At 60.3% G+C, this 23,942-nt stretch overlaps 1 protein-coding gene across 5 annotated transcripts in view, besides 11 other annotated features; it reads right to left on the reverse strand.

The window, feature by feature from the left end:
- The window catches only part of CBFA2T3 (CBFA2/RUNX1 partner transcriptional co-repressor 3), a 102,350-nt gene extending 80,368 nt beyond the window's left edge, over positions 1-21,982 (reverse strand). For all 5 annotated transcript variants that reach the window (XR_007064926.1, XM_005256323.6, XM_047434826.1 and 2 more), the window contains exon 1: positions 21,432-21,982. Coding sequence is in view for 4 of the 5 variants with exons in the window: in XM_005256323.6 (XP_005256380.1) it covers positions 21,432-21,582 (151 nt within the window). In the remaining variant the exon portion in view is untranslated. The remainder of the gene's footprint in view (positions 1-21,431) is intronic.
- Positions 1,578-1,723: a silencer, noted in NCBI's record as "fragment chr16:89023211-89023356 (GRCh37/hg19 assembly coordinates)". NCBI's record gives its function as "represses an EF-1alpha promoter that drives an FKBP-Casp9 reporter gene in an ReSE screen in K562 erythroleukemia cells {active_cell/tissue: K562}" and the evidence as "EXISTENCE:reporter gene assay evidence [ECO:0000049][PMID:32094911]".
- Positions 10,907-10,966: an enhancer, noted in NCBI's record as "active region_11378". NCBI's record gives its function as "activates an Ori minimal core promoter by ATAC-STARR-seq in GM12878 lymphoblastoid cells {active_cell/tissue: GM12878}" and the evidence as "EXISTENCE:reporter gene assay evidence [ECO:0000049][PMID:35858748]".
- Positions 12,479-12,528: a silencer, noted in NCBI's record as "silent region_7890". NCBI's record gives its function as "represses an Ori minimal core promoter by ATAC-STARR-seq in GM12878 lymphoblastoid cells {active_cell/tissue: GM12878}" and the evidence as "EXISTENCE:reporter gene assay evidence [ECO:0000049][PMID:35858748]".
- Positions 12,759-12,818: an enhancer, noted in NCBI's record as "active region_11379". NCBI's record gives its function as "activates an Ori minimal core promoter by ATAC-STARR-seq in GM12878 lymphoblastoid cells {active_cell/tissue: GM12878}" and the evidence as "EXISTENCE:reporter gene assay evidence [ECO:0000049][PMID:35858748]".
- Positions 13,788-14,643: an enhancer, noted in NCBI's record as "H3K27ac-H3K4me1 hESC enhancer chr16:89035421-89036276 (GRCh37/hg19 assembly coordinates)". NCBI's record gives its function as "activates a minimal SCP1, AML or CMV promoter by ChIP-STARR-seq in naive H9 embryonic stem cells {active_cell/tissue: H9 hESC(naive)}" and the evidence as "EXISTENCE:reporter gene assay evidence [ECO:0000049][PMID:30033119]".
- Positions 16,536-16,675: an enhancer, noted in NCBI's record as "active region_11380". NCBI's record gives its function as "activates an Ori minimal core promoter by ATAC-STARR-seq in GM12878 lymphoblastoid cells {active_cell/tissue: GM12878}" and the evidence as "EXISTENCE:reporter gene assay evidence [ECO:0000049][PMID:35858748]".
- Positions 17,756-17,825: an enhancer, noted in NCBI's record as "active region_11381". NCBI's record gives its function as "activates an Ori minimal core promoter by ATAC-STARR-seq in GM12878 lymphoblastoid cells {active_cell/tissue: GM12878}" and the evidence as "EXISTENCE:reporter gene assay evidence [ECO:0000049][PMID:35858748]".
- Positions 18,006-18,165: an enhancer, noted in NCBI's record as "active region_11382". NCBI's record gives its function as "activates an Ori minimal core promoter by ATAC-STARR-seq in GM12878 lymphoblastoid cells {active_cell/tissue: GM12878}" and the evidence as "EXISTENCE:reporter gene assay evidence [ECO:0000049][PMID:35858748]".
- Positions 20,107-20,651: an enhancer, noted in NCBI's record as "H3K27ac-H3K4me1 hESC enhancer chr16:89041740-89042284 (GRCh37/hg19 assembly coordinates)". NCBI's record gives its function as "activates a minimal SCP1, AML or CMV promoter by ChIP-STARR-seq in naive H9 embryonic stem cells {active_cell/tissue: H9 hESC(naive)}" and the evidence as "EXISTENCE:reporter gene assay evidence [ECO:0000049][PMID:30033119]".
- Positions 20,304-20,513: an enhancer, noted in NCBI's record as "active region_11383". NCBI's record gives its function as "activates an Ori minimal core promoter by ATAC-STARR-seq in GM12878 lymphoblastoid cells {active_cell/tissue: GM12878}" and the evidence as "EXISTENCE:reporter gene assay evidence [ECO:0000049][PMID:35858748]".
- Positions 22,354-22,403: an enhancer, noted in NCBI's record as "active region_11384". NCBI's record gives its function as "activates an Ori minimal core promoter by ATAC-STARR-seq in GM12878 lymphoblastoid cells {active_cell/tissue: GM12878}" and the evidence as "EXISTENCE:reporter gene assay evidence [ECO:0000049][PMID:35858748]".

Below are 23,942 nucleotides of genomic sequence, written 5' to 3' on the forward strand. Positions count from 1 at the left end.
CCTGACCCTACCCAAGGCTCCTGACCCCACCCAAGGCTCCTGACCCCATCCAAGGCTCCTGACCCCAGCCAAGGCTCCTGACCCCAGCCAAGGCTCCTGACCCCGCCCAAGGCTCCTGACCTCACCCAAGGCTCCTGACTCCACCCAAGGCTCCTGACCTCAGCCAAGGCTCCTGACCCTACCCAAGGCTCCTGACCCCACCCAAGGCTCCTGACCTCAGCCAAGACTCCTGACCCCACCCAAGGCTCCTGACCCCACCCAAGGCTCCTGACCCCAGCCAAGGCTCCTGACCCCACCCAAGGCTCCTGACCCCACCCAAGGCTCCTGACCCCAGCCAAGGCTCCTGACCCCACCCAAGGCTCCTGACCCCACCCAAGGCTCCTGACCCCACCCAAGGCTCCTGACCCTACCCAAGGCTCCTGACCCCACCCAAGGCTCCTGACCTCACCCAAGGCTCCTGACCCCACCCAAGGCTCCTGACCCCACCCAAGGCTCCTGACCTCAGCCAAGGCTCCTGACCCCACCCAAGGCTCCTGACCCCACCCAAGGCTCCTGACCTCAGCCAAGGCTCCTGACCCCACCCAAGGCTCCTGACCTCACCCAAGGCTCCTGACCTCACCCAAGGCTCCTGACCCCACCCAAGGCTCCTGACCCCAGCCAAGTCTCCTGACCCCGCCCAAGGCTCCTGACCCCAGCCAAGGCTCCTGACCCCGCCCAAGGCTCCTGACCCCAGCCAAGGCTCCTGACCCCGCCCAAGGCTCCTGACCCCAGCCAAGGCTCCTGACCCCACCCAAGGATCCTGACCCCACCCAGGGCTCCCGACCCTGCCCAGGGCTGCCAACCCCCAGGCCTGCCGAGTTCCTGCTCCCTGAGGCTTTGGGAAAGACTCAAAGGCTTTGGGAAAGACTCCATGTCAGTTGTCTGCCAGGAGAGCCGTGGAGGGCAGCCGCCTGGCCCCAGCCCGAGGCCATGTAGAGCCTCCAGACAGAATGGCCAGGAAACTGAGTCAGAGCCTGTTTATCACGCGTGTGACGGAGGGCGAAGACCTGCATCACGGGAGAACCCCACGCACACGGAGCTCATGGCCTGTGCCAGGGTGGGCGGGAGACCTTCACCCACCCGCCGGGTCCCCGGGACACAGCGTGTCCGCCTGCTCTTCCCCAGGGGTCTCAGGGCTCTCTGCTCTTTGAGCCCAGGATGACCCTGCTCCCCCAGGCTCAGAGCCCAGCAGCTCCCGGAGGGTGGAGGGTAGAGGAACGCGGAGCTTCTACTGGCCTCACAGGCATGGCCCCATTCATTTAGTTCCACAGGTCGGGGCTTCCCAGCAGGGGACATGGAGGCCCAGAAAGCATTTGTCTAGAGTCACACAATACCGTGGCAGAGGGAGGCGAGGCTGGGACCCATAGGCTCTGTCTCCATTACCCCAACCTGCAGCTGCCCCACCTGGCCTGGTGTCTGTTACTGGTGGACCCTGCTGGCGGAGCCCTGGGAGAAAGAGGCGCTCCAGGCGTGGGCGGCGGGGGCTGGCATCTGCTCCTCGGCTGCTTTCCTGACCGAGTTTGGAACTGGACCGCATGGCCCTTGCCCTCCCTCTGTGCCTTCTCCAGGTGGCGTCACAGGGGCCTGCAGCAGCTGCACCAAGCCCGGCCCCTGGGGTTCTCAGCTGCCTGGCACCCTCCAGTCCACACTGTACTTTGCCAGGGCCTCTGAAATGCAGAGGCTGAACCACAGAAGAAGTGGCTCACCCGGAGACTGCGGCAGCCTGAAGTCGGCTGAACCACAGAATGAGTGGCTCACCCGGAGACTGCGGCAGCCTGAAGTCGGGGCCCTCTACGTCTTTGTCACGCTCTCTCCCGGAACAAAACCGCCCTTGGGCTTCAGGCCCCAGAGGTTATGCCCACGGGCAGCTGCCCAGCAGAACCATCATCACACGAGATTGGTTGCTCACTCCTCCCCCATCGACCCACTCCCCGGCATCTTCCCTCTCACCAAATGCTGCCGGTGGTTCTAACCTCACAGTCTGGACAGCCAGCTGATGGCCCCAGAGGTTCCTGGTCAGAAGTGCTGCCTTTCCCTGCCCTCGGGACACCCCCGCCCCCACGGCAGATGCCACTGCCTTTCAGGGCCAGTAGCAGACATGGCAGAGCACTCTCCGTGGGGCTGTCACCTGACTCGGGATAACAGTGCTACTCACACAGCACAAACGGGGTCGGAGCTTGCACAGAGACCACGATGCCCCCTCAGCCCAGGGAGGACGACGCAAAGGTGATAGCTAGTCCCTCCACCCCCAGACACATCCCCTTGCTGACCCCCACACCTGTCCTCAGTGTACATCTGGGAAGCCCAGAGAGGGTCAGTGGCTCACCTGAGACACACAGCTGTGGTGAGACAAGGTTCTCCATAGACTGTCAGCCGAGCACAGATAAACTCAAAAGCAGATGCAGTGCACACTTATTCAGACATAAGAAGGAAGGCAGGTCCGACACACGCTCCAGTGGGGATGGACCCAGAAAACACGGGCGAGTGGAAGAGCTGGACACAGGATCCCGCTTACACACAACACCGGAAAAGACAAATCCACAGAGGCAGGAAGCAGATCAGTGGTGGGCAGGGCAGAGGGAGGGAACGGGCCTGACTGCCCGTGGGCATGGGGTTTCTTTTGGGGGAAAATGTTCTAAAACTTGTTAGCAATGATGGTTGCACACCTCTGGGGCTTTGCTAAGTGCCACTGACTTGTGTACTTGAGATGGGTGAGTTGTAAGATGTGTGGGTTATACCTCAACAAGGCTGCTGGAAAACCACAGTAGACCCGGAACGAAAGTACCTGTGAGCTGCTCACAATCCCTCGCTCACAGAGAGGCCACGGAACTTTGTCAGCGCACCAGGGCAGTAGCGGGATGGGTGTCAAGGCCGTGCACACCCACGAGGCCGTAGGAAGCCTGGTCAGGCTGTCGGGGCCTCAGACGGCAGAAACCTATCCCGAGAGGAAAGGGCCCTGGGCACAGGCTATGGCAGAAGAGCTTCGAGAGCCCAAAGCTCCCAGGGAAGCTTTGAGCTTCCTCAAAAAGCTATTTTGAGCCTAAAATAGCTTCAAGAGCCCAAAGCTCCCAGGGAGAAGTTGAGGTTGATGTGGTCACCTCGAATGGGGAACTCCTCCAGGAAGGAAAGGAGAAGTTTTATTTGGGGTGGGGGTGTTAGAGTAATGCCAGGCGGGGCGGCGGGGGAAGAAGGTTCTGGGGCGGGGCGTTAGAGTGACACCAGGTCCCGGTGCAGCGCTCGTGAGTGCCCCACATCCCTGGGCATCACACGCGTGTCGTCTGGAGCAGAAGCTGGTGGAGAGGTGTCCTTCCTATTTCTCAGATGGGGAGACTGAGGCCTGGGTGGGGGCAGGTGGAGAAGCACAGTCGCCGCCCAGCAGCCCAGCACTACCTTTGGAGGGAGACAAACTCGCTCCCCCAGGGCCGGGGGCTGGGGGCCTCGGTGTGGCCTTTGGAAGGAGATGAACTTGCTCTCCCAGGGCTGGGGCCTCAGGGCCTCAGCGTAGCCCAGGTCTGCGCTGGCTCTGGGCTCTTCCCGCTGCAGGTGTGGGTCCCCCGTGGGCAGCTCTCACACCACAGGCCTGGCTCCCTAGGGGTATGGTCAGAGTGGGACCCTGTACCGCCTCTGCCGCCCTTTTCCCTTTGCCTCCATGGAGCGGGCCTGAGTTCCCAGAGGGCTGATTCCTCTCTCTGCCCCGACCCCTGGCAACCCTGTCAGCTGCTCATTCACCTAATAGACAAGTGCTGTGTGCCCGGGCTGTGCCGCACCAACCCAGGGCCAGGATTCAGAGGGGAACAGAGAGGAAGCCCCATCCTCGCGATGCCAAGGTCCCAGCAGCTGGAGGGGCAGCGCCCTGCTGATTGACGCGCTGAATCGTGTGCCCCCGTCCTTACTGGCAGGCACGCCACATGTGCTGTGTGCCATGTGTTCAGGTCTGGCCTGGGCCTGCTGTGTCCTGGTCTCATACACGCTACATGGACAGTCACATGAGCAGCTGCTGTGGCCGCGGACGGGTGGTGGGGACAGGGCATGACCCTGTTGGGGGAGCAGAGGGGTCTCCTTGCGGGAGAGAGTTGAAGTAGTCCTGGCGATGATGGTGGGCTCCCAGGAGAGGTGGAGGGAACACGCATGCACGCCCAGGGCTGGAGGCACGTGGGTGTTCAGGGCCTGTGAGGAGGCCCGGGCACCAAGGCAGCACCCAGCGCTTACAGAGCCTGCAGGTCTTGGACAGAGGTGCAGGCAGAGGCAGGAGGTGGCATGGGTCATACCACCTGTAAAAGCCAGGCGCAGTAGAGAATGTTCTAGAAATAAATGTGATGCTGCGATTGCCTGAGAGGGAACCCAGGTGCAGGAGAGGGAAGGTCCCGGGGAAACCCTCCTTTTCCTCCTCCTTCCTCCCAGCAGCTGGGAAAGGCGATGGAGAGAAAACGGGAGCAGGGCAGAGACGGTATCTGGGATTACAGGAGGAAAGGTGGCTCATTGTTTAAAAAGATCATTAAGCCTGTCATCCCAGCACTTTGGGAGGCCAAGGCAGGCAGATCACCCGAGGTCAGGAGTTCGAGACCAGCCTAGCCAACATGGTGAAACTCCATCTCTACTAAAAATACAAAAATTAGCAGGATGCAGTGACGGGCGTCTGTAATCCCAGCTACTTGGCAGGAGGCTGAGGCACGAGAATCACTTGAACGCAGGAGATGGAGGCTGCAGTGAGCCGAGATTGCACCACTGCACTCCAGCCTGGGTGACAGAGCCAGATTTTCCAAAAAATAATAATAATAAATTAAAATAAATAAATAAATCATTAAGGTTCCAAGGAAAGATGAGTCTGTTTCCCTCAGATGATTTTCAGTAGAAAACAGGCAGAGATAAGACAAAGTCCTTGATTCCCAGGTTTGTCTGCCCTCCCAGGACAGCCCACGAGATGTGAGTGGTATTGAATGACTCAGGCCTACACCTGCTGGGCTGGGAGGGCAGGGCACTCTTCTGCCTCAAGCTCTAAGTTCAATGTGGACGGCATCTGTGAAATGGGACTGCGTCACCTGCTCTGCTGAACTCACGGGGCCAGGTGCCAGGTCGACGGGGTTATGGGTGCAGAGGCTGTTTGAAGATAGCAGAGAAGATGTGAAGAAAGAAGTTTGAAAATCCTGGTGTGAGAAGGCCCTCGGGAGTGTCACATTTGAACACTATTGATTTGTGGACTGGAACCTACCGGAACGAATCCATTTGTCATGGGGCATAAACAGAAGTCGGCTGAGTGAGGCCTCCACAAGAATCTCAATTTTCCTTATGAAAAGAGGCTGGCCTAGTCTTTGTCCTCTGCCCCTTCTTCCTCCTTCCTGCCTGGAATGCAGACATGATGCCTGGAGCAGGGGCAGCCACTTTGCAGCCAGGAAACCATAAGCAAGAGGATAGTGAAGCTGAAAGAGCAGAAATGCCAGGTACCAGACAGTGTCGTTGTGGCACTGGCCTGGGCCACCCGCCTCTGGGTTTGGTCATGTAGAAACAAACCTTGTTTACACCCCCGTTAGGTTTTCTGTGATTTGCAGCTGACATAATCCTATTGGCTACAGGGATCAAATCCATCACAGGGAGGTCTGCCAGATTTTGGAGATTACAGATGCAGAATGCCTGGTTAAATTTGAATGTCAGATAAACGATAACTGATTTTTAGTGCATGTCCCAGGCAATATTTGAGATACGCTTACGATTTAAAAATTTGTTTATCTGAAATTTGACTTTAACTGTAATGCTATTCACTGATGAAGTCACAGAATCCAGAGAGGCTGTGAGACCTGTCTGAGGTCTCGCTGTGGGCAGGTGGTGGATGGGGCTCTGCCTTCTGTCTTCCACGGCCTCTCCTTGCTTTGATCCTGATCTGGTGTCTCTAGAGCTTTCTAAACCTGCTGTAACAGATCTGTAAAGAAGGGGGCCTGTGGATGCCGCCAGAGCCCGTGAGAGGTGGTTCCCAGACAGGGGGCGCACGGGGAGTGACGGAACCTTCTGTAGGAACTGACACACAGCACTGGAGATTTCCACTGCATAGTAACCGACACTCACCCCTGGGCATTCCCACCACATAGTGACTGACCCTCAGCACTGGGCATTCCCACTCCATAGCAACTGACCCTCAGCGCTGGACATTCCCACTCCATAGTAACCGACCTCAGCGCTGGACATTCCCACTGCATAGTAACCGACAGTCAGCGCTGGGCATTCCCACTCCATAGTAACCGACCCTCAGCGCTGGACATTCCCACTCCATAGTAACCGACCCTCAGCACTGGGCATTCCCACTCCATAGTAACCGACACTCAGCACTGGGCATTCCCACTCCATAGTAACCGACACTCAGCACTGGGCATTCCCACTCCATAGTAACCGACACTCAGCGCTGGGCATTCCCACTCCATAGTAACCGACACTCAGCGCTGGGCATTCCCACTCCATAGTAACCGACACTCAGCGCTGGGCATTCCCACTCCATAGTAACCGACACTCAGCGCTGGGCATTCCCACTGCATAGTAACCGACACTCAGCGCTGGGCATTCCCACTGCATAGTAACCGACACTCAGCGCTGGACATTCCCACTGCATAGTAACCGACAGTCAGCGCTGGGCATTCCCACTCCATAGTAACCGACCCTCAGTGCTGGGCATTCCCACTCCATAGTAACCGACACTCAGCGCTGGGCATTCCCACTGCATAGTAACCGACACTCAGCACTGGGCATTCCCATTCCATAGTAACCGACACTCAGCACTGGGCATTCCCACTCCATAGTAACCAACCCTCAGGGCTGGACATTCCCACTCCATAGTAACCGACACTCAGCACTGGACATTCCCACTGCATAGTAACCAACACTCAGCACTGGGCATTCCCATTCCATAGTAACCGACACTCAGCGCTGGGCATTCCCACTCCATAGTAACCGACCCTCAGCACTGGACATTCCCACTCCATAGTAACTGACACTCAGCACTCGGCTTTCCCACTCCATAGTAACTGATACTCAGCACTGGAGATTTCCACTGCATACTCGTACTTTTTTACTTTTACAAAAGCATCAATTGCCAATGGATATTTATTTTCCACAAATAACATGAGACGCCATGAACCAGCCTCGAAGGTGAATGCACTTCCCAGGCTGCTGTGTCCACTGTGTCTGCTGGGGTCACTGTCCTGTGGGGGACGCTGAGGCTTCCTCTGTGCTCAGCAGGAAAAGCATTGTGATCCATTACCCATGCCTGTCGTGAGTCCCGAAGGAGAGGCCCAGGGCCCAGGCCACTCTGCACCCTGAGGGCACGTGGTGGGGCCAGATCACCAAAGGGCACATTTGGGAGGACTGAACACAGATGCCGAGTCCCCTGGACCACGTTTCGGGGGGAGACAGCCACGTAGCCGGAGCCAGTGCCTTCCCACCCAGCACCTCCTGTGGTCCTCACGGTGCTCGGCCCAGCCACGAACATGGGTGTCTTTAGATGTCGCCTGGTGGGAAAACAGGGGGAGCAAAGCCTGCTGCTGCTTTCTCGTCTGTGCCCCGAACCCTGGAGATGAGGGGCGCTGACCCTGCACGGCTTCTGAGCACCGACATGAATTCCCAGGTCCACTCGGAAGGGAGCTGGGCAACCCCACCCCGCGTGTCTGAAAACTTCCACTTGCTTGATTTCCACAGGGCCTCCAGGAGGGCACAGGGCACGCCACCCCACTCTGTGGTTTGCAGAGGGGAGATAACGGAGGTTGGGTCCAAAGCCACATCCTCAGCACCTGAGCTGCAGGGACACAGTCAGTGCCAGGGGCCCTGGGCAGATGCGTAGCTGGGCCTGGCAGGATGCTGGGGGTGCTTCTTCAAATCTGGAGGGGGAGCTGGAAGAAGCAGACACAGGCCCAGGGCCGGAGGGAGAGAAGGTGGGGGCTTGGACAGAGGCTGTAAGGAGTTTCTACCAAAGTCCAGGGACAGTGGGGGAAGGCCAGGGGTGGGCGCTCATCTTCTGCCAGGGGTGGGCGCTCGTCTTCTGCCAGGGGTGGGCGCTCATCTTCTGCCAGGGGCGGGCGCTCATCTTCTGCCAGGCTTTTTTTTTTTTTTAAGAATGTTAAGATCTTTTAAAAATTTGTGATAAACAGAACATAAAATTTACTATTTTCACCATTTTAAAGTGCACAATTCAGTGGTATTTAGTACACTGACAACGTTCTGCAACCAGCGCCTCCACCTAACTCCAGAGCACATCATCAACCTCGCAGTGAATCCCGGCCCCAGGAGCTGTCACTGTCTTCTCCACACCCTCCCCATGGTGACCCCAAATCCACTCTGTCTCTGTGGATTTGTTATCGTGGACATTCCATAAAATGGGACCAGACCGTATGCGGCCTCTTGGCTCTTTCACTTAGTGTGATGTTCTCAGAGCTGAAGCACCGCGCTGCAGTGCGCATCAGGAATAGATTTTAGCGGCGTCATGCCTGGATTTCCCTGCTCAGCTGACACTTCGTGAGCCAGGCACACAGCGGCCCGAGGAGAGCCGCATTCTGTGACTCAGGGTTCTGCGGGATCCTGGAATGCAGGGAGGCTCGGGTCCGTGCACGTCTGAGGCAGGAGGCCTGGCCTGGCCACACGGGCGTGGGTTCCTCATCCCTCTGAGCCTCTGTCTCTTCGTGGTGACTTAGGGGACTCTGCATCTCGCTTGCAGTGCATCTTGAGAAAGAGAAGAGCTCTGTCTGCAGTGAGGAGAGGACAGAGAGCTGCCCAGAGCTCCCAGCCCTGCACCTGTGAGGTAGGTGGCACAGCTCTATGGGGGTCTTTAAAGGGCCACGCACACAAGACCATCTGCATACCTGGGCCGATCGGCTTAAAGGAATCCATATGTGGGTCTTCACCTTCCAGATTGTTCTGCAAACACGGCTTGGGGTCAGCTGTGTGCTGCTCCTGCCTGCTCTTCCCCCAATTCATGGGTTGCCTCTCTCTAGCATGAGTCTGATGACAGGGCTTCGACCCACCAGTGAAAACCTGGGGCAGGCCCCATGCCCTGCCTGCCTCCTGTTCGGAAACCACAGACCCAAAGGTGTAAAAAATCACGTTGACTTCTGGCCCTCCTGGTGTTAGCCAGGCTGCCAAGGGCCCAGTGGCCTCTTTTGACTTTTAATTTACTGCTGGTGAGGCTTCAGTTAGGGTTAGGGTGCAGAAAACTGACAAGTTGCAAGCTACTTGTTGTTCTGAAGAAAGATTGCACTTCACTAATTCCCACTCGTCAGGTTCCGTGTGGCTTTCCTTCTTCATGGGGTCTTTAATGTCCCTCGTCCCCTCTGAATCACCTGGGCTGCCCGACTGGCTCCCTCATCGCGGAATAATACACCTTTCACACATGCTTACTGTATGTGTGTATAAGAACTATGTTTTTAAGATTTGAAAAATATACTTTGACCTTTCCTTCCTGCTTCCTTACCTTTTTATCTTCCCATCCATCTATCCACCCACCAACCCATCTATCCATCCACCCACTCATCCATCCATCCACCCATCCATCCACCATCTATCCATCCAGTCACCCATCTATTCATCCATCTATCTATCCACCCACCCATCCATCCACTCACCCACCATCTATCCAACTGTCCATCCATCCATCCATCCACCATCTATCCACTTATCCATCCATCCATCCATCCATCCATCCATCCATCCATCCATCTATCCATCTATCCATCCATCCACCTACCCCACCCACCATCTATTTATCCATCTATCCATCCATCCACCCACCACCTATGCACTTCTCCATCCATCCATCCATCCACCCATCCATCCATCTATCCACCCACCCATCTATCCATCCATCCATCCATCCATCCATCCATCCACCCACCCACCCACCCACACATCCATCCATCTATATCACAATTAGAATTCAAAGTGAGGCATTTGGATCATTTAATAACATGCTTATTTGAATTAATATCTGACAAACATCAGTCTGGGCAGATTGTTTTTCAGTGAGGACCAGTTCTGCCCTTTGTTTTTAAGGCAGCATTTCTATAAATCAAGTGAGCTAAATGTGCAGATTTTCATAAGACCAGATGCCAAACACTGGTAACATATTAGGTATGCTAGAAAATACAGTTTTTGAGACTGTTTAATCAATGTTTAGAGGCTGCAAATTGGCCCATGTGGCACCATTGCCAAGGGTCCTGTGTCCAGCCTTTGGTTTAGAAGGATACTTGGTGCGCAGCGCCAGCCACAGGCCCCGAATCCTGCTTCTACAACCCAGGGGGCTAGGTCCCTGCGGGGCAGAGAGTTTGCAGAACAGGTGTGTGCCACGGCCAACACATGCCTCACACACTGTATGCAGCTGTTCTTCTGTGACCCAGTGGTGAGGTTGCGGGGTGCAGCTGTCACCTTATTTATTTTAACAACGTCTTGTCCACAGATACCTGTCATGTTTGAAAACCTCTCTAGTGGCTCCTGGGCCACCATTATCTGCCAAAAACGAAGCAGCATAAGGTCTGTGTGTGGCCAGGCTGGGTGAGGCTGCTTTGTAAGCAATTTCATCTTATAGGGGAACTTGGCTTGTCAAAAAAAAGTTTTAGGGAGCTCGCAAACAAAAGCATTAAAAGCCCACAGAACCACCGGCTTTGAGAATCGGGCCTGGTGCTTGGCACCTGACAGGTCCTCTCCACTGTGCCCGGTCCCTCCTCTGTGGGCTGATGTCAGGGGAGGGGACGGGGGCCCATTCGGCAGCAGGAACAGAGAGACCCCACAGAGCATGGGTGCATACAGAGTTCCCCCTGGGCCACTCCTTGGCCAGGGAAAGCAGACCTCGCCTCCTCTCGTAGCTGCAAGGTGGGGCCCCTCTGGACGGAGTGGGCTTTCCCGGTTTGTGTGGGTCGCTCTGCTCTGAGGGTCACTCTGCTCACTGGCCTGCACAGTCCCAGGACTTCCCCGACCTGAGTCACAGCACGGCTTCCTGAAACACATCTTGGCCACATTAGGCCGTCTCTAGGGACAGACTCCAGAGCAGCCAGCTAACAGGGCTGCCATTTTACCCTGGTCCTTGGCAGGAGTGAGGCCTGTGCCGGGGTAGGGGGGTGGCAGCCCCTGTGAGTGCCCACAGAGGAGAGCAGAGCGGGGGATCGCGAGTCCACAGACCTCCCGGCCCCTCTCCCACCTGTGCAGCATGGCTGGGCTACCTCCCCTGCCACACCCTCATCCCACCTGGGGTGACCACCAAACCCATGTCCAGACGAGGACCAGGCCCAATCAACCTCTGGCCTCCCATGAACTCAGTAGTGGAAGCAGTAGAAGCACCCGGTGCCAGGCCCTGCCCAGCGCCCAGCTTCCCAGCCTCCCTTGGAGGCCGGCCCTGGTTTCCACAAACAAGGAATTCCTCCAGGAGCAATGGACACTCTTGACCTCCAGAACCACTGCCTGCCATCACCAACACCTGCGCTGGACAGAGGCCTTTCTGAACACGAGCTGGGTGGGTTGGGGTGGGGGGCGTCTCCAGTGACTCCCGTGCCCTGGCCCTGCCTGGCTTGCAGAGCCACCCAGATGGAAGTCGGATGCAGCACGCCCACTGCTGCCCCTCAGAGACCAGGCGCTCATTTCCCCCAGGAAGCCGGGATAGGGCCCACACCCACCCTGGACTCTGGAAGCCCAGGATGAGAACTTCGTATCACACTCTAGTCCCTGTGGCCAATGTCTTGTGTTTGCCTTGGAGAAACCATGTGGGCCCCAGGGGACGAGGGAAAGCATCCTTGATTGAAGCATTGTTTGTAGCACGGGAAATTGACGCACTCAACCTCTCTCCATAGGGAAGCTGAGAACAGTGCGCTGGTGTGTGCCACCCCCAACCCCCAACCCCCGAGGTGCCACTCGGCCCCGACACGCGGCAGCACCATGCCACCCCCCAGCCCCCGAGGTGCCACTCGGCCCCGACACGAGGCAGCGCCATGCCACCCCCCCAGCCCCCGAGGTGCCACTCGGCCCCGACACGAGGCAGCACCATGCTCAATGCAGTCAGCCTCGCAGGTGTCGAGAGAGGAAATTGCAAAGGAAAATGAGAATTCGATGCCTTTTCTGTAACTGTGCGAGACACACTGCCTGGGAGCGACGGGGACGGGGCAGGATGCCTGGGGACGGCTTTCCACACCCTAAGTGCTGCCATGCGTCCACCTGTTCAGTTTTCACAGATGTGCCGGAGACGGGGACTGCTATTGCCCCATTTACCGATGAGGAAGCCGTGGTGGGGTGTGGGGTGGCTAAGCCTCTGAGCTAGGTCCCCCCAACCCCTTGATCCCATCTCGCCGCCCCCAGGTGGGGTGGCCTTCCGGGCTGGGGACACTGGACCTACAGGAATTCCTTTCTATAAAGAAGAGGGAAGGAAGGAGCAGGCCGGGGACGGGGACGGCGTGCTGCCCTGCGTGGCTCCCGCGACCTGGCTTCTCCTGGGGGGTTAAAGATCAGCCACAGAGCACAGGGGTGAGGGTCAGGCGCACACTGCCTGGGGGCTCGTCGCGGCTCAGCCCTCACACTGCCCCTTCCTGTCCAGGGCACCGGGGAACTCAGGACGCCCCCTGCCCCGGAGCAGCGCGTCCAGCGGGGGTCGGCGTGAGCTGTGTGGAGGCGCCCACCCTCCCTTGCAGCCAGAGGTAGGAAGTAGAAGGGAAAGAGGAGAGGTCGCTCTGTGGCCTCCAGAATGTCACCATTTTCACACATGTTCAGTTTATAAACTTTTAAGCTTTCTGCATCCTTCTTTTCGCACCATGACTAAAGTGACTGAAATTCTGTGGGTTCGACGGGTCATGGGGCTGAGTTGGGACCATGTGACCACAGGGCTTTGATGAGGAACCCCCCATACCGCCCATGCTGGGGCCCACCTGGAGGAAATAGGCCCAGAGAGGCACGCCCTGGTGAGAGGCCGAATAAGGGTGGACCACAGGGGACTGCCAGGGGCCCTGGCCGCAGGACTGCCCGTCCCAGCTGTCTCTGGCCCTGGGGAGGGGCTCAGTAGGGAGGGGCGGGAAGCACCTGGCAGTTTCAGTTTCGCCAGGAAGCGGCTGCCTGCTGTCTCCCTTCCCACCCGCCGCCCGGAGAGCCCCCCAGGTGGGGACGGCCCCTTGCACTGCAGACGAGGAAGCCCCAGCTGAGGGGCCGCAGGACAAGCCTCACGGCTCCTGGCAGTGGGGACAGAGCCAGGCCCAGCCTCAGCTGCGTCTCAGGAGGACCTGGGGTGGGAGAAGCCCCTGGGGGCCGAGAGCAGATGAGGGCAGATCTGACTGGCATCTTCTGTCACCTGCTGGTGACCTTTTAGAACACGTGGTCCCAACCCTTGGTCTAGAATATGCTGCCGTGTTGGAGGGGCAGAAGCAGCTGAGACGGCTGTCCGTCCCCCGCCTGTCAGTCCGTCTGTCTGGGGCTGGGGGTGTCAGGACAACACCCACCACTGCAGGCCCCCTTGGGAATAAGCGGCAAGAAGCTTCGGGGTCCAGTTTGCACCGAGCCCCTCCAGCGGGGACGCCTCTTTCATTTCTGCACCCTGCGCCTGGCACGGAGGGGTGTGCGGTCAGCGGGTGGGGGCTGATTGGGTGACTTGCAGTGACAGGGTGGCGAGGCCCTGGACCTGAGTGCCATGTGACCCCCATGGACCATAACCCCTCTGAGCTCCAGGGTCTGCAGCGCTGCAGGCCTCACACAAATCGGGGGCCAGGAGCCTAAGATCTGCTCTCTAAATCTGGGAGCCCAGCCAGAGCAAGCCCTCAGCAGACCCAGCCCCAGTGTGCGGCCTGGTGCCCCCGTTTTGAGGAATCCCCCATCCTCTCGTGAGCAGTCGGCTGGGTCAGGCTGGCTCCACCGGCTCTGGGATTCGGCTGCAGCCTGGCCCGGATGCCGCCGGGGTCACCGCCATCTGGAGTGAGGGGCTGCAGCGGACACGGCTGGAGGGACGGTTGCAAGGTCCCCTCCCCCACTCTGTCCCCCTCAGGTCTGTGAAGTCGGGACTTTCTAGACACTCAAAACACACCTGGACTTGGGAGCTCAGGAGGAAGCTCCGGGAGCCCACAGGGTGGGGTGAATTCTCCAGTTCCTTCTCTACTGGGCTCCCTCCCGGCTGGTGCCTCCTGGCCTTGGCAGGGGTGGGAGGCCTGGTGTCTGCAGGGCCAGCTGCGGGGGTCGCAAGAGCGGGGCCCCTTGGGAAGGAGTGCCAGGAAGAGGGTCTTTCCTCACCAAATCCCACCCCAGCCTTCAGGAGGGGCTCGCCGCCACCCCGTTTTACAAACAGGAGACAGGCTGGGGTCAGCGTGGCCGGTGGACAGCAGTTTCCATTCCCACCATGGTCGGGTCCAGCCACTGCCCCTCACAGACCAGGGAGCCGAGGGAGAGGGGGGCGGGGCCGGCCTGACGACGCACAGACCTCAGCACCGCCCGTGGGGCTGCATCTTGCAGGCTCAGGGCAGCAGGCCAGGCTTGGCTGCCAGGGTGCGAGTGGCAGGTGCCGGGGGGCAGGTGCTGGGGCTCCCGGTGGGCCCTACTAGAGGGCACCGTGGACCCGGTCCAGTTAGGGTGAGCATGGCCTGGGGGGTTGCGATTTGGCAGAGCCCCCGATCTTCTGCAAGGCTGTGGGTTCACCCCATCCCCCTCCACAGGGGCCTCCCAAAATGAGCCCCAGAAGCTGTGGCTGTTGGAGGCTTCTGCCATGTCTTCTCAGGAGGGCATGCCTTCTGGCCCCACTCCTCCCAGGGAGAAAGCCACACTTGGGGCCCTCACCCCAGGAGTCCTCGTCTCCACAAAGGGGGCGCCTGGAAAAGCTGATGGAAATTCACGTCAGTGGGAGGCAGGCCTGGGGGAGGGGTTGGCCCACTCTCCAAAAGCTGCCAGTGAAACGGCTGCTCTGCAGCTGTCCTGGGCCGAGAGAGGATTTCACTCCAGGAGGCGGTGGCGGCGGCCCCAAGCCGGCAGCCTTGCTGTGTGATCAGCTGGGTGTCAGGATGTGCTTGATCCAGGGGTCGGCGACGCGGGTGTCAGGCAGCACCTGCGTGGGGCTTCCTCAGGTGAAGCAAGGAGACGGAGAGGTGGGTTCGGAGGGGCTCAGCTGAGGGCGCGGCTCTCGTCTCAGAGCAGGGCGTGCAGTGGGGTCCCTCTCCTGAGATGCGACCTCAGCTGCCTTGCCTCTGGGAGGGTCCCTGGCAGAGATGCACAGCCTGGGAGGACGTGGCCCACCCCAGCCCCGCTGTGTGAGCTCGGCTGGTTTCCTGACCTTTCTGATTTGTGTCCTCATCTGAGGTCAGCGATGCCCTTGAAGTGTTGCCGGGTGAAAGCCGGGAAGGGATTGCCGTCTGCCCCTTCCCTCCGGGGCCACAGGGCCTGAGTTCCTGGGAAAACTGTGGAGCCAGTCCCTGCCTCAGCACCAGCAGGATGCACACAGCCAAGTAACAACTGAAGGACCAGGAGCACGGAGGCCTCGCCTCGCCTGGAGATGGAATAGACTCACGCCTTCCAGGGCTCAGCACCCTCCTGGGCCAGCACCGTCTGCTGAGGGCCCTGCTGCAAGCAGGCACCAGAGCCCCTGTCTCGTGCAGCCGACGCTGGGGGCCGGGGGATGAGTAGTACGTAAGGGGGCAGCTGGTTTTTCTCATGGGGTGACAGATTGAAGGAGAGGAACACCGAGGGAAGGAGGTCGGTCGGGAGGGGGCTCCTCGGCGAGGGCATAGCACAGGCACGGGCTCGGGAGGCTTGTGGAGCCGCCAGGCAGCCGGGGCTGTGAGTGCCGGAGGCCGACGCGGTGGGGTCGGGCCGGGAGGGCTGGGCCGTGGGTGTGCGCAGGTGTGATGTGGCTGACGTGTTTTCATCAACTCAATTTTCCTTTTTTTTTAAAGACACGGTCTCCCTCTGTCATCCAGGCTGGAGTGCAGGGGCGCAATCTTGGCTCACTGCAACCTCTGCCTCCTGGGTTCACACGATTCTCCCGCCTCAGCCTCCCGAGTAGCTGGGATTACAAGCACCCACTACCACACTCAGCTAATTTTTGTATATTTACTAGAGGCAGGGTTTTGCCATGTTGGCCAGACTGGTCTCGGAATCCTGGCCTCAAGTGATCCGCCTGCCTCGGCCTCCCAAAGTGCTAGGATTACAGGCATGAGTCACGGCACCTGGCCTTGATTTTTCAAATGACATGGTGACCCAGCCACTCTCTGCCCACCTGAGAGAGCTGCCTGGGGCCTGGGGTGGGCAGAGCTGGGAGAGGAAGCCCCTCGGTGGGGTCCCCGCTGTGGACCTGTGTCCTGGGCAACTGCCCGACAGGCCTGGGAGCGGCCGTCCTGGGGGTGGACTTGGGGGTTTTGTGCTGAGAACTTCATTGGCGCCTGCTGCAGGCCGGCCTCTGGCTTTGTAACAGTCGACCTGAGTGACCCAGTCCACAGCTCCCAGCTGGAGTTCCTTCAAAGGGTGGGTGGGCGGCCCTCAGACAGGCCTCTCTTTTCCCTGCTTCTCTCCAGCTGCCCCTGGCCGACGTCTCCTCGGAGGAGCACTGGCCGGCGAGTCCTGGCTCAGCTGTGACCAATCGGCCTCTCCCTGAGGCCGCTCTTCCTGCCTGCGCCTCCCCGGTCAACTGCAGTCACGGAAGTGAAAGTGCCGGAAAACCCCTGCCCAGCGCCCAGGCAGGTTAACGGGACGCACTGCTTCTCGGTCCACATGTGGTGAGAAGTGAAAGTTGTCTTCGCCTAAAGAGTGGCCTCCTAGAGCCGCCCCCATGGGGCCACTTCCTCCAGGAAGCTGGCCCGGATTGCACCCTGACCCTAGGCACCGCCCCTGTCTTCCTAGGTGCTGATTCAAGGTCTTTCTGCTGGACAGGAGGACATGGCTGGTTGCTGTCCTTGTGTGTGGGGATGGGCTGGTATGGGGAAGGAGCGGAGCATTCCAGCAGCCACTGAGGCCTCAGGGAAGCAGTGCCACGCTTACTGGGGAGGGAGGGAGGGAGGTGCACTTATGGGACCTGGAAAGCTGGCTGCACCTGGCAGTGAGGACGTGCCCAGAGCCCCTGCTCCCTGCTCTGTGCCAGTGGAGCCTCCGGTGGGGAGATAGTTGGGGGGGAGTCAGGCTTTGTCCCACCGTCCACTCTCCTGAGGACTTCCTGCCTCTGTGGATGCCCCTCTCTCTATTACTAGCTCATCCATTCCTCTTCACCCTCTGGCCCCAGAGCTCTGCACTCTGCCGCCTCTGTCTGACCTTCGTAAATCCTCCCTCATGGAGCTGTCCATGCACTGGCAGCCCTGTCCCCTTGCGATGCTGCTGGCTTTCTGCCATGACTGACCCAGGAGGGATTCCAGGGCAAGCTTCCCTCCGAGCCTGGGGCTGGACTCCACGGTCAGTCTGATTTCACAGCAGCAAGATCCTCACATCTCCAGCCCATCTGCCTCTGCCCCACAGGGTCAGCAGAGCCTGCTGTGTGCCTCTCAGAACCTCAGTCTCTTCTTCTGTGATAGCAGTAACAGCAGCACTCCCAGGCTGGCTCCCCGACATGGAGCCCCCCAACACCATGTGGTCAACAAAAGGGGGGACAGGAGGCGGGAGGTGAGGTCTGAGGGTGCTGGGGACCTTGGGATGATGGCTGTGATGGCACTTTGCTCACAGACACAGGTCTGACAGCTACCATCCGGCCCCTTTGCAGGCACCCTTGGGGCTGCCTGTCTGTCTGTCTGTGGCCTCAGACGTCTTGTCATGCACACACTGACCTCCCTGCCTCTGGCTGGAGCCCACAGACACCCTGGCCGAGCTCTGCATGATCCACCAGCTCCAAAGCCCAGCAGACACAGGGCCTGCGGCTGAAGGAGGAGTCGGGCTGAGACCGCCCGGCTGCTCATGTCCACTCCCCCTCCCACCGCGCCCCCTTGATGGGGCACCTCCCATAACCGGGGCTGCCTGCAGCCTCTCCAGTGCCTCCCTGTGTCCCACCGCCTGGAGTGCAGAGTGAGTGGCTGGAGCTCTGGCCTAGGGTGGGCTGGGCCTTAGAAGAAGGAGGCAGAGGAAGATTTGGGAGGGAGGAGACGGCCTTGCAAAGACAGAGGTAGTGGCTGCGGCACGGCGGCCACAGCCCAGGAACACCTGGGACCAGCAGGACCTGGAGAAGGCAGGACCTGGAGGAGCACGGCCATCTGACGCCTTAGTTTCGGACTTCCAGCCTGCGGCACTGTGAGAACAGAAGCCTCTGTTGTTCTGAGCCCCCAGCCAGCTTGCAGCCCATCCTTACTGCAGCCCCAGGAGATAGAAACACCCGGGGAGGGCAATCCAGACCCAGAACATTCCAGACCCAGAACCTTCCAATGCAGAATATTCCGGACCCAGAACATTCCAAACCCAGAACATTCCGGACCCAGAACATTCTGGACCCAGGACGTTCCAGACCCACAACATTCCAGAGGACAGCTGGGCCTGGATGGCCACTTGAGGGGATGGAGGATGGAGAGTGAGTGGTGGCAAAGCCCAGCCCCAAGGGCAAGGTCGGGTAGAGGGAGCCCAGGCTGACCGCAGGCTCTGGACGTGACCCCTTTGCCAGGTGGGCTCCAGCCAGGGCTCAAGCTTCCTGCACGGATGGTGCCTTCACAGCATCTGCCCAGTCCCCATAACATCTGCCCGCCTTGCCCGGTCCCCATAACATCTCCCGCCTTGCCCGGTCCCCATAACACCCGCCCGCCTTTGCCTGCACCCCTCCACTGATAGTGCTCACCACCTCCCCGAGATCCCACGTCGTCCCTCTAAGGTGACACCAGGCAGGCCTGACTCAGTTTCTCCCCCATGGAGGTCCCAGCACATGGCACTGAAACTTCTCTGCCTCAGCCTACACTTGCCAGGTGGATTTCAAAATCTCTGTCCCTGGCACCCTCCTCGGGTGACCTGGTTCCCATCCCTCTCTCCTGAGGCAGTCAGGTCACCTTTCTGACCTCCGCCTCTTCTTCTGCAAAGTGGGCTTGGGGGGACAAGGCGGTGAGAGCCTGCACAGCTCCGAGCACACACAGCGGGCGCCTCGTAAACCCAGCACCGCAAGCACCGTCTTCAGGGGTTCCTTCTGCACCACTGGGCCCAGGGGTCAGTGAGGATCCAGACCCTCCGCGTGAGGGGGCTGGTGAAGGAGCCCAGGGAAGGGGTCCCGGCCCCCAGACGGCGGCGTGTGCTCTGTGGCCATCTTCTGATTGCTTACACCTCAGCCCCCAGGACGCTGTCAGAGGAGACGAGGGGCTGAGGTCCTCCCACCCCCTGCACAGCACACAGACGTCTCTCCTGCCCGCCACCAAACGCGCAGCAACACAGCCCTGCTCAGTACGCCTTTGGTCTAAAGACAGGAAGGTTCTTCTACTTCAGCTTTTAGAAATATTACTGTTCTCCCCAGAGTTTAAAGCCAATCGGCCTGTTTTCAGGCCTCAAAGGTTTTAGGAACTCTTGGGAGGCCTGTGTGCCTGACAGCCACACAGTGGGGCTGAGGTGCCCTCAGGTCTGTCCAGGACCCCCCGCAGTTCCCATGCCCCCCATGGCCCCCGCTCCTCCAGCCAGGCGAGGCTTGATGCCGAGGCTTTCTGGCATCACAAGGCTCCCACATCTGTCCCCTGGGGGCCTTGGGAGGCCCCTGGGGTACAGGATGAGAAGCCCCAAGTGCTGGTATTCACATGTAACTCTGCTGCCTGATGTGGCTAAGGCTGTCCCATGGGTACCCTGGAATAGGGCCGGGTGGTTGCACGGACAGAAGCCCCTAGAAGCCAGGGGCAGGACCCCGCACCCAAGTGAGACCCTGCTCCCTCCTCACATTGCAGCCCCTAAGCAGGGGCTCCCTGGGGGTGGGCACAGTGGCTGGGTACTCTGTGTTAGAGGCCACCCTGGCCCTCTGCTCCTGACCTGCAGCCATGTCAGAGGTCCACCCTGACCCTCTCTGCTCCACATCTTTAGCCATGTCAGAGGTCCACCCTGACCCTCTGCTCCTCACCTGCAGCCATGTCAGAGGCCCGCCCTGACCCTCTGTTTCATGCCTCTAGCCAGCAGCCCCTCGCATGACTCAGGCACGGGGCCACCTCTTGGCCCTAACCTCCTTCCACGGTAGACACCCCCGTCCTTCCACAGTAGACGCCCCCATCCTAACAAAGCGGCGGCTCTCCATGCGCCTCAGAGCCCGTCTCTCTCCGCGCCGGTGAGAACCTGCTCTCACGCGGGGAGCAGGTCGGAAGGGTCTGAACCATGAGGAAACTGAGGCCCAGGGAGGAAGCACCCGGCCCAAGGCCACTCAGCGCCAGGGGATAGACAGGGCCGCTCCAGAGAGGACGGGATGGCAGATGCCAGGGCCAGTGGGCTGGTGCTGCCTTGAAGGTGGCTCTGAGTCACCCATTCGGGAGAAACGAACAGTAGCACTGGCTGTGGTGAGGTCCGGCCTTTGCATTCCGGGCACCCGGGGTTGGGAAGTTCCTGCTCACATCTGGGGCCCTTGTGGGGGATGGCCCTGGGGCCCCACGGGCAGCTGCAGGTGGGAACAGCCTCAGGCAGCCGCCGCCAGGACCTGCTCAGGGAATGTGGTCTCCAGAGATGGGGACACCCCTCGGTCCCGGGTTCTGTGTGTGAGTGTCAGGGGTGCAGTCAGACCTTGGACCTGACGGCCTCAGTGAGAGCCCCGCGAGACGGGAGACTGTGAGCTCCTGAAGGTTCCGACGGCTGCTGGGAGTGTGGCCACGAGGGCCACTGGGAATCGGGGCCACCAGCCTGCAGCTGCAGCCCCCAGCGTCCGGGGATCCTTGTCCTGGGACTTCGCAGGCTCGGGTGGGGGGTATCAGCAATAGCTGGCGTCCTGCTGGACTGGACCCCTCCCCAGAGCCCGAAGCCCCCAGAAGGGCAGGCCCAGGTTCCCCGTAAACCCCCACTGCCCTGGCTGGAATCGTTCCTCGGACAGGGGCCCAGGGTTGGGTCCATTTCCTCCTCACCGGGGTCTTGGGCCAGTGCCCTCCCCTCTGGCCTCAGTTTCCTCATCCAACCTGCTGTGAGGTGTCACACCCGGAGGGCATCCCAGGAGGAGGAGGGCTCTCTTTCTAGGACCCCCCCATCACTTCCCGGCTGCGGCCCTCCCACCCCCAGGAGAACACAGCCCACCCTCCTAGACGGGGCTGAGCAGCCCGGCCTCCAGCATCTGCCTCTGGGTGGGGCTGGGGCACCTGGCTGGCACCTGCCAAACCCTCACCAGCCCACCTGCCCCAGCTGTGCAGGACCTGCCTGTGGGGTGGCCCTGTTGATATCTGAGGTGAGTCAACACGGCCATCCGTGCCGGCACTGTCAACTAAGCTGGGCAGGCCCCGCGAAGCTCTAAGGAGTCACAGCCCCGGCACCGGCTGCCGCTCTCTGCCCCCACCCCACCACCTTCCCCTCGAGCCTCTTACCTGGGCCGCCCTTCCTGGGACCCCGGGGTGCGGAGCAGCCGGCAGATGCCAGGAGGCCGCTCTCCAGCACAGGGTGCGTCTGGGACATGGAGCCACAGGTGGATCCCGAGGCTGAACTGGCTGCCCTGTCCCTCAGTCTTGAAGCCGGCATGAGGAGGGCCACCCTCAGGGGCCAACCTGGAGCCCAGGACAGGCCTCTACCAGGACTGCCTTTCCCGACCTCCTGCAGCCTTGAGGGAAAGAGGAGGGGCTGGGCCAGCTGGGGCGTCCTGGAGTTGGGCCTCTGTCCCTGGAAAGCCGAGGCCCTCCCGGCCACCAACTGGGTGTCCTCTGCCCTGGGGAGGGGGTGGGAGCCCTGGGGCTCATGTGACGCGGGGCGGGCCTGGGGCTGCAGGCTGGGGAAGGTCTCCCTGCAGCCTGCGGGTGAGGCAGCCAGCTGTGTCCCCGTGATAATGCCGGGGCCGGAGGCCTGCAGCTGCGCCCGCCACTTCCCTGACAGGAACCATCTGGGGCCCTGCCCTGCGCGGCCTTCCCTCGGGCCATTCCGGTTTGACCTTCCAACAACTTCCTCCTCCCAGGCAGCTCTGGTGACGTCCCACCCACCCTGAGCCCTACAGCGTGGCCACTGGGCATGTGTTTCCTCGGCCCCAGGGCAGGTGTGCAGGCCTGAGGGCAGCTCCATCCTGGCCCAGAGCCCTTGGCCTGTCCCGCCCACCCATCTTCCCCCCAGGGCTTGGCCCTTCCTTCAGCCTGGGGTATCTGGGGGTGTCCTCCCTCTCCGCTAGCCCTCAGTCAGCCGAGCTTTCCCCAGCACCCCTTTTAGTTTGCCCCCGCTCCAGGGGCCACCCTGCCCGTGTTCCTGTGTCTGCTGACTGTGCCCTTGAGCAAGGCGGGGCCTCTGACCAGCCTCTCCTCAGCCCCTGCTCCGGGGTTCTTGGGCACCTGACCTGTCCTCAAAGTACCTCCCGCCTGCTGGGAAGGAAACCCTCTCTCTCTGCTTGGCCTCGTGCACAGGGCTCCTGGCCCTCTGTGGAGACAGCAGGGCTCCCCCACTCTCCGGGGGTGCCTCAGAAAGACCCTCACCCCACGCCCCAGCGGCCGCCTCCGGTGAGCAGCCTGGAGTTTGCGGGGGTCGGGGGTAGGTGGCTTCTCCAGTCTGGGAAATTCCAGAAGCCACCTCAGAGCACTCTTGGGACTACTTAGACCCTAGGGAGAGTCCTAGGACCCCTTTCTAGCGGCCGTTGGGCTGAGAGAGTGAGGCACATCCCAGATGCTGGGAAAAAAAGCCACTTTCTAAAGCTCCCTGACAACTGTCAGAGGGCAGGAGCTTCCTGGGAGGGGACAGTGACCCTTCGGCCCTGCAGCCCTGGTTCGGTGGCTTTTCTGATGCCATGGCTGGAGGTTTCCCGGCCTCAGACAGGCCAGAGGTGTGGAGCCCGCAGACCCAGGGCCGGCTCACGGGCATCTGTGCTATTTTGATTTGATTTGATTTGAGTTTTAGGTCACGTTTGCACGCAGTTAATAATTCAAGCCGTGCAGGAGTAAAAGCCGACTCCTTCCCCGCAGGGTCTCCAGGTGTCCCGGGTCTCCCTGTCCCAATAGTCGAGTGTCTTTCTCGAGTTGGTGACAACAAGCTGCATGCCAGCGTGTGTGTCCAGCTTACAGTGGGGATGTGTTTGTTCCTGCTGGGGAACTTCCCAGACGCCAGGCCCACCCGGGGCCTCCCCTGCCCTGGGTGGTCGGCCGTTCTGCCCCCAGGACTGAGGCTGGAGGGGACATTCCTGCCAGCCCGGGGCCCATCCCCTGGTGCCATCATTCGGTCCCCACGTCCCCTGCTGTTCCCTGTGCTCTGGCTCAGGGTGGGATTCACAGTGAGGGTCCTGGGGGCCCTGACCCTCCTGGTTTCCTCATTTGTGCAGGGTGCACGATCCTAACGGCGTCAGCTCCTACAGCGTTTCCGGGAGTGGAGACAGCAGAGGCTCTGAGCCGCCACATGGGCCGGGGCCACCGTGAGCATGTGGCTGGGGTTGGTCTGTGTCAGTGCCTATTCCCCAGCTGTGTGCAGTGAGAGTCTCAGAGTCGGGGAACTGAGGGTCTCAGGGGGCACAGCCCCCACTCCGTGAGGCAGCAGGACAGCACCCTGGGTGAGGGTGGTGGCTCCCCCCACCCGGGGTAGGAGACAGGCAGCCCTGCCCCCAGCCCTGAGGCAGATGTTCGAGGCCTGCACCTGCGCCCCCCACAGATGGGACACTTCCACTTTCGCAATGAGGCCCTGAGCTCCCCGCCTGGCCCCGTCTTGCCTGGTGTCTAATCAGGGGGTCTGACGGAGGTGGGGTTGGAAAGAGAAGAGAAGAAAGTTGCCCACAAGTTGGGGGCAGGAGCTGCCCCCCAACTTTGGCGGCCACCTGGGGGTGTGGGCACCACTCCCCACCTCCCCACTACCGGCCTCCTCTCCCCCAGGCCGGGCAGTTGGTGCTTGTGGGGAAGCAGACGTTGGCTGTGGCTTTCAGA

This window comes from Homo sapiens, chromosome 16 (genome assembly GCF_000001405.40).
Source record: "Homo sapiens chromosome 16, GRCh38.p14 Primary Assembly".
In the NCBI taxonomy this organism is placed as follows: Eukaryota; Metazoa; Chordata; class Mammalia; order Primates; family Hominidae; genus Homo; species Homo sapiens.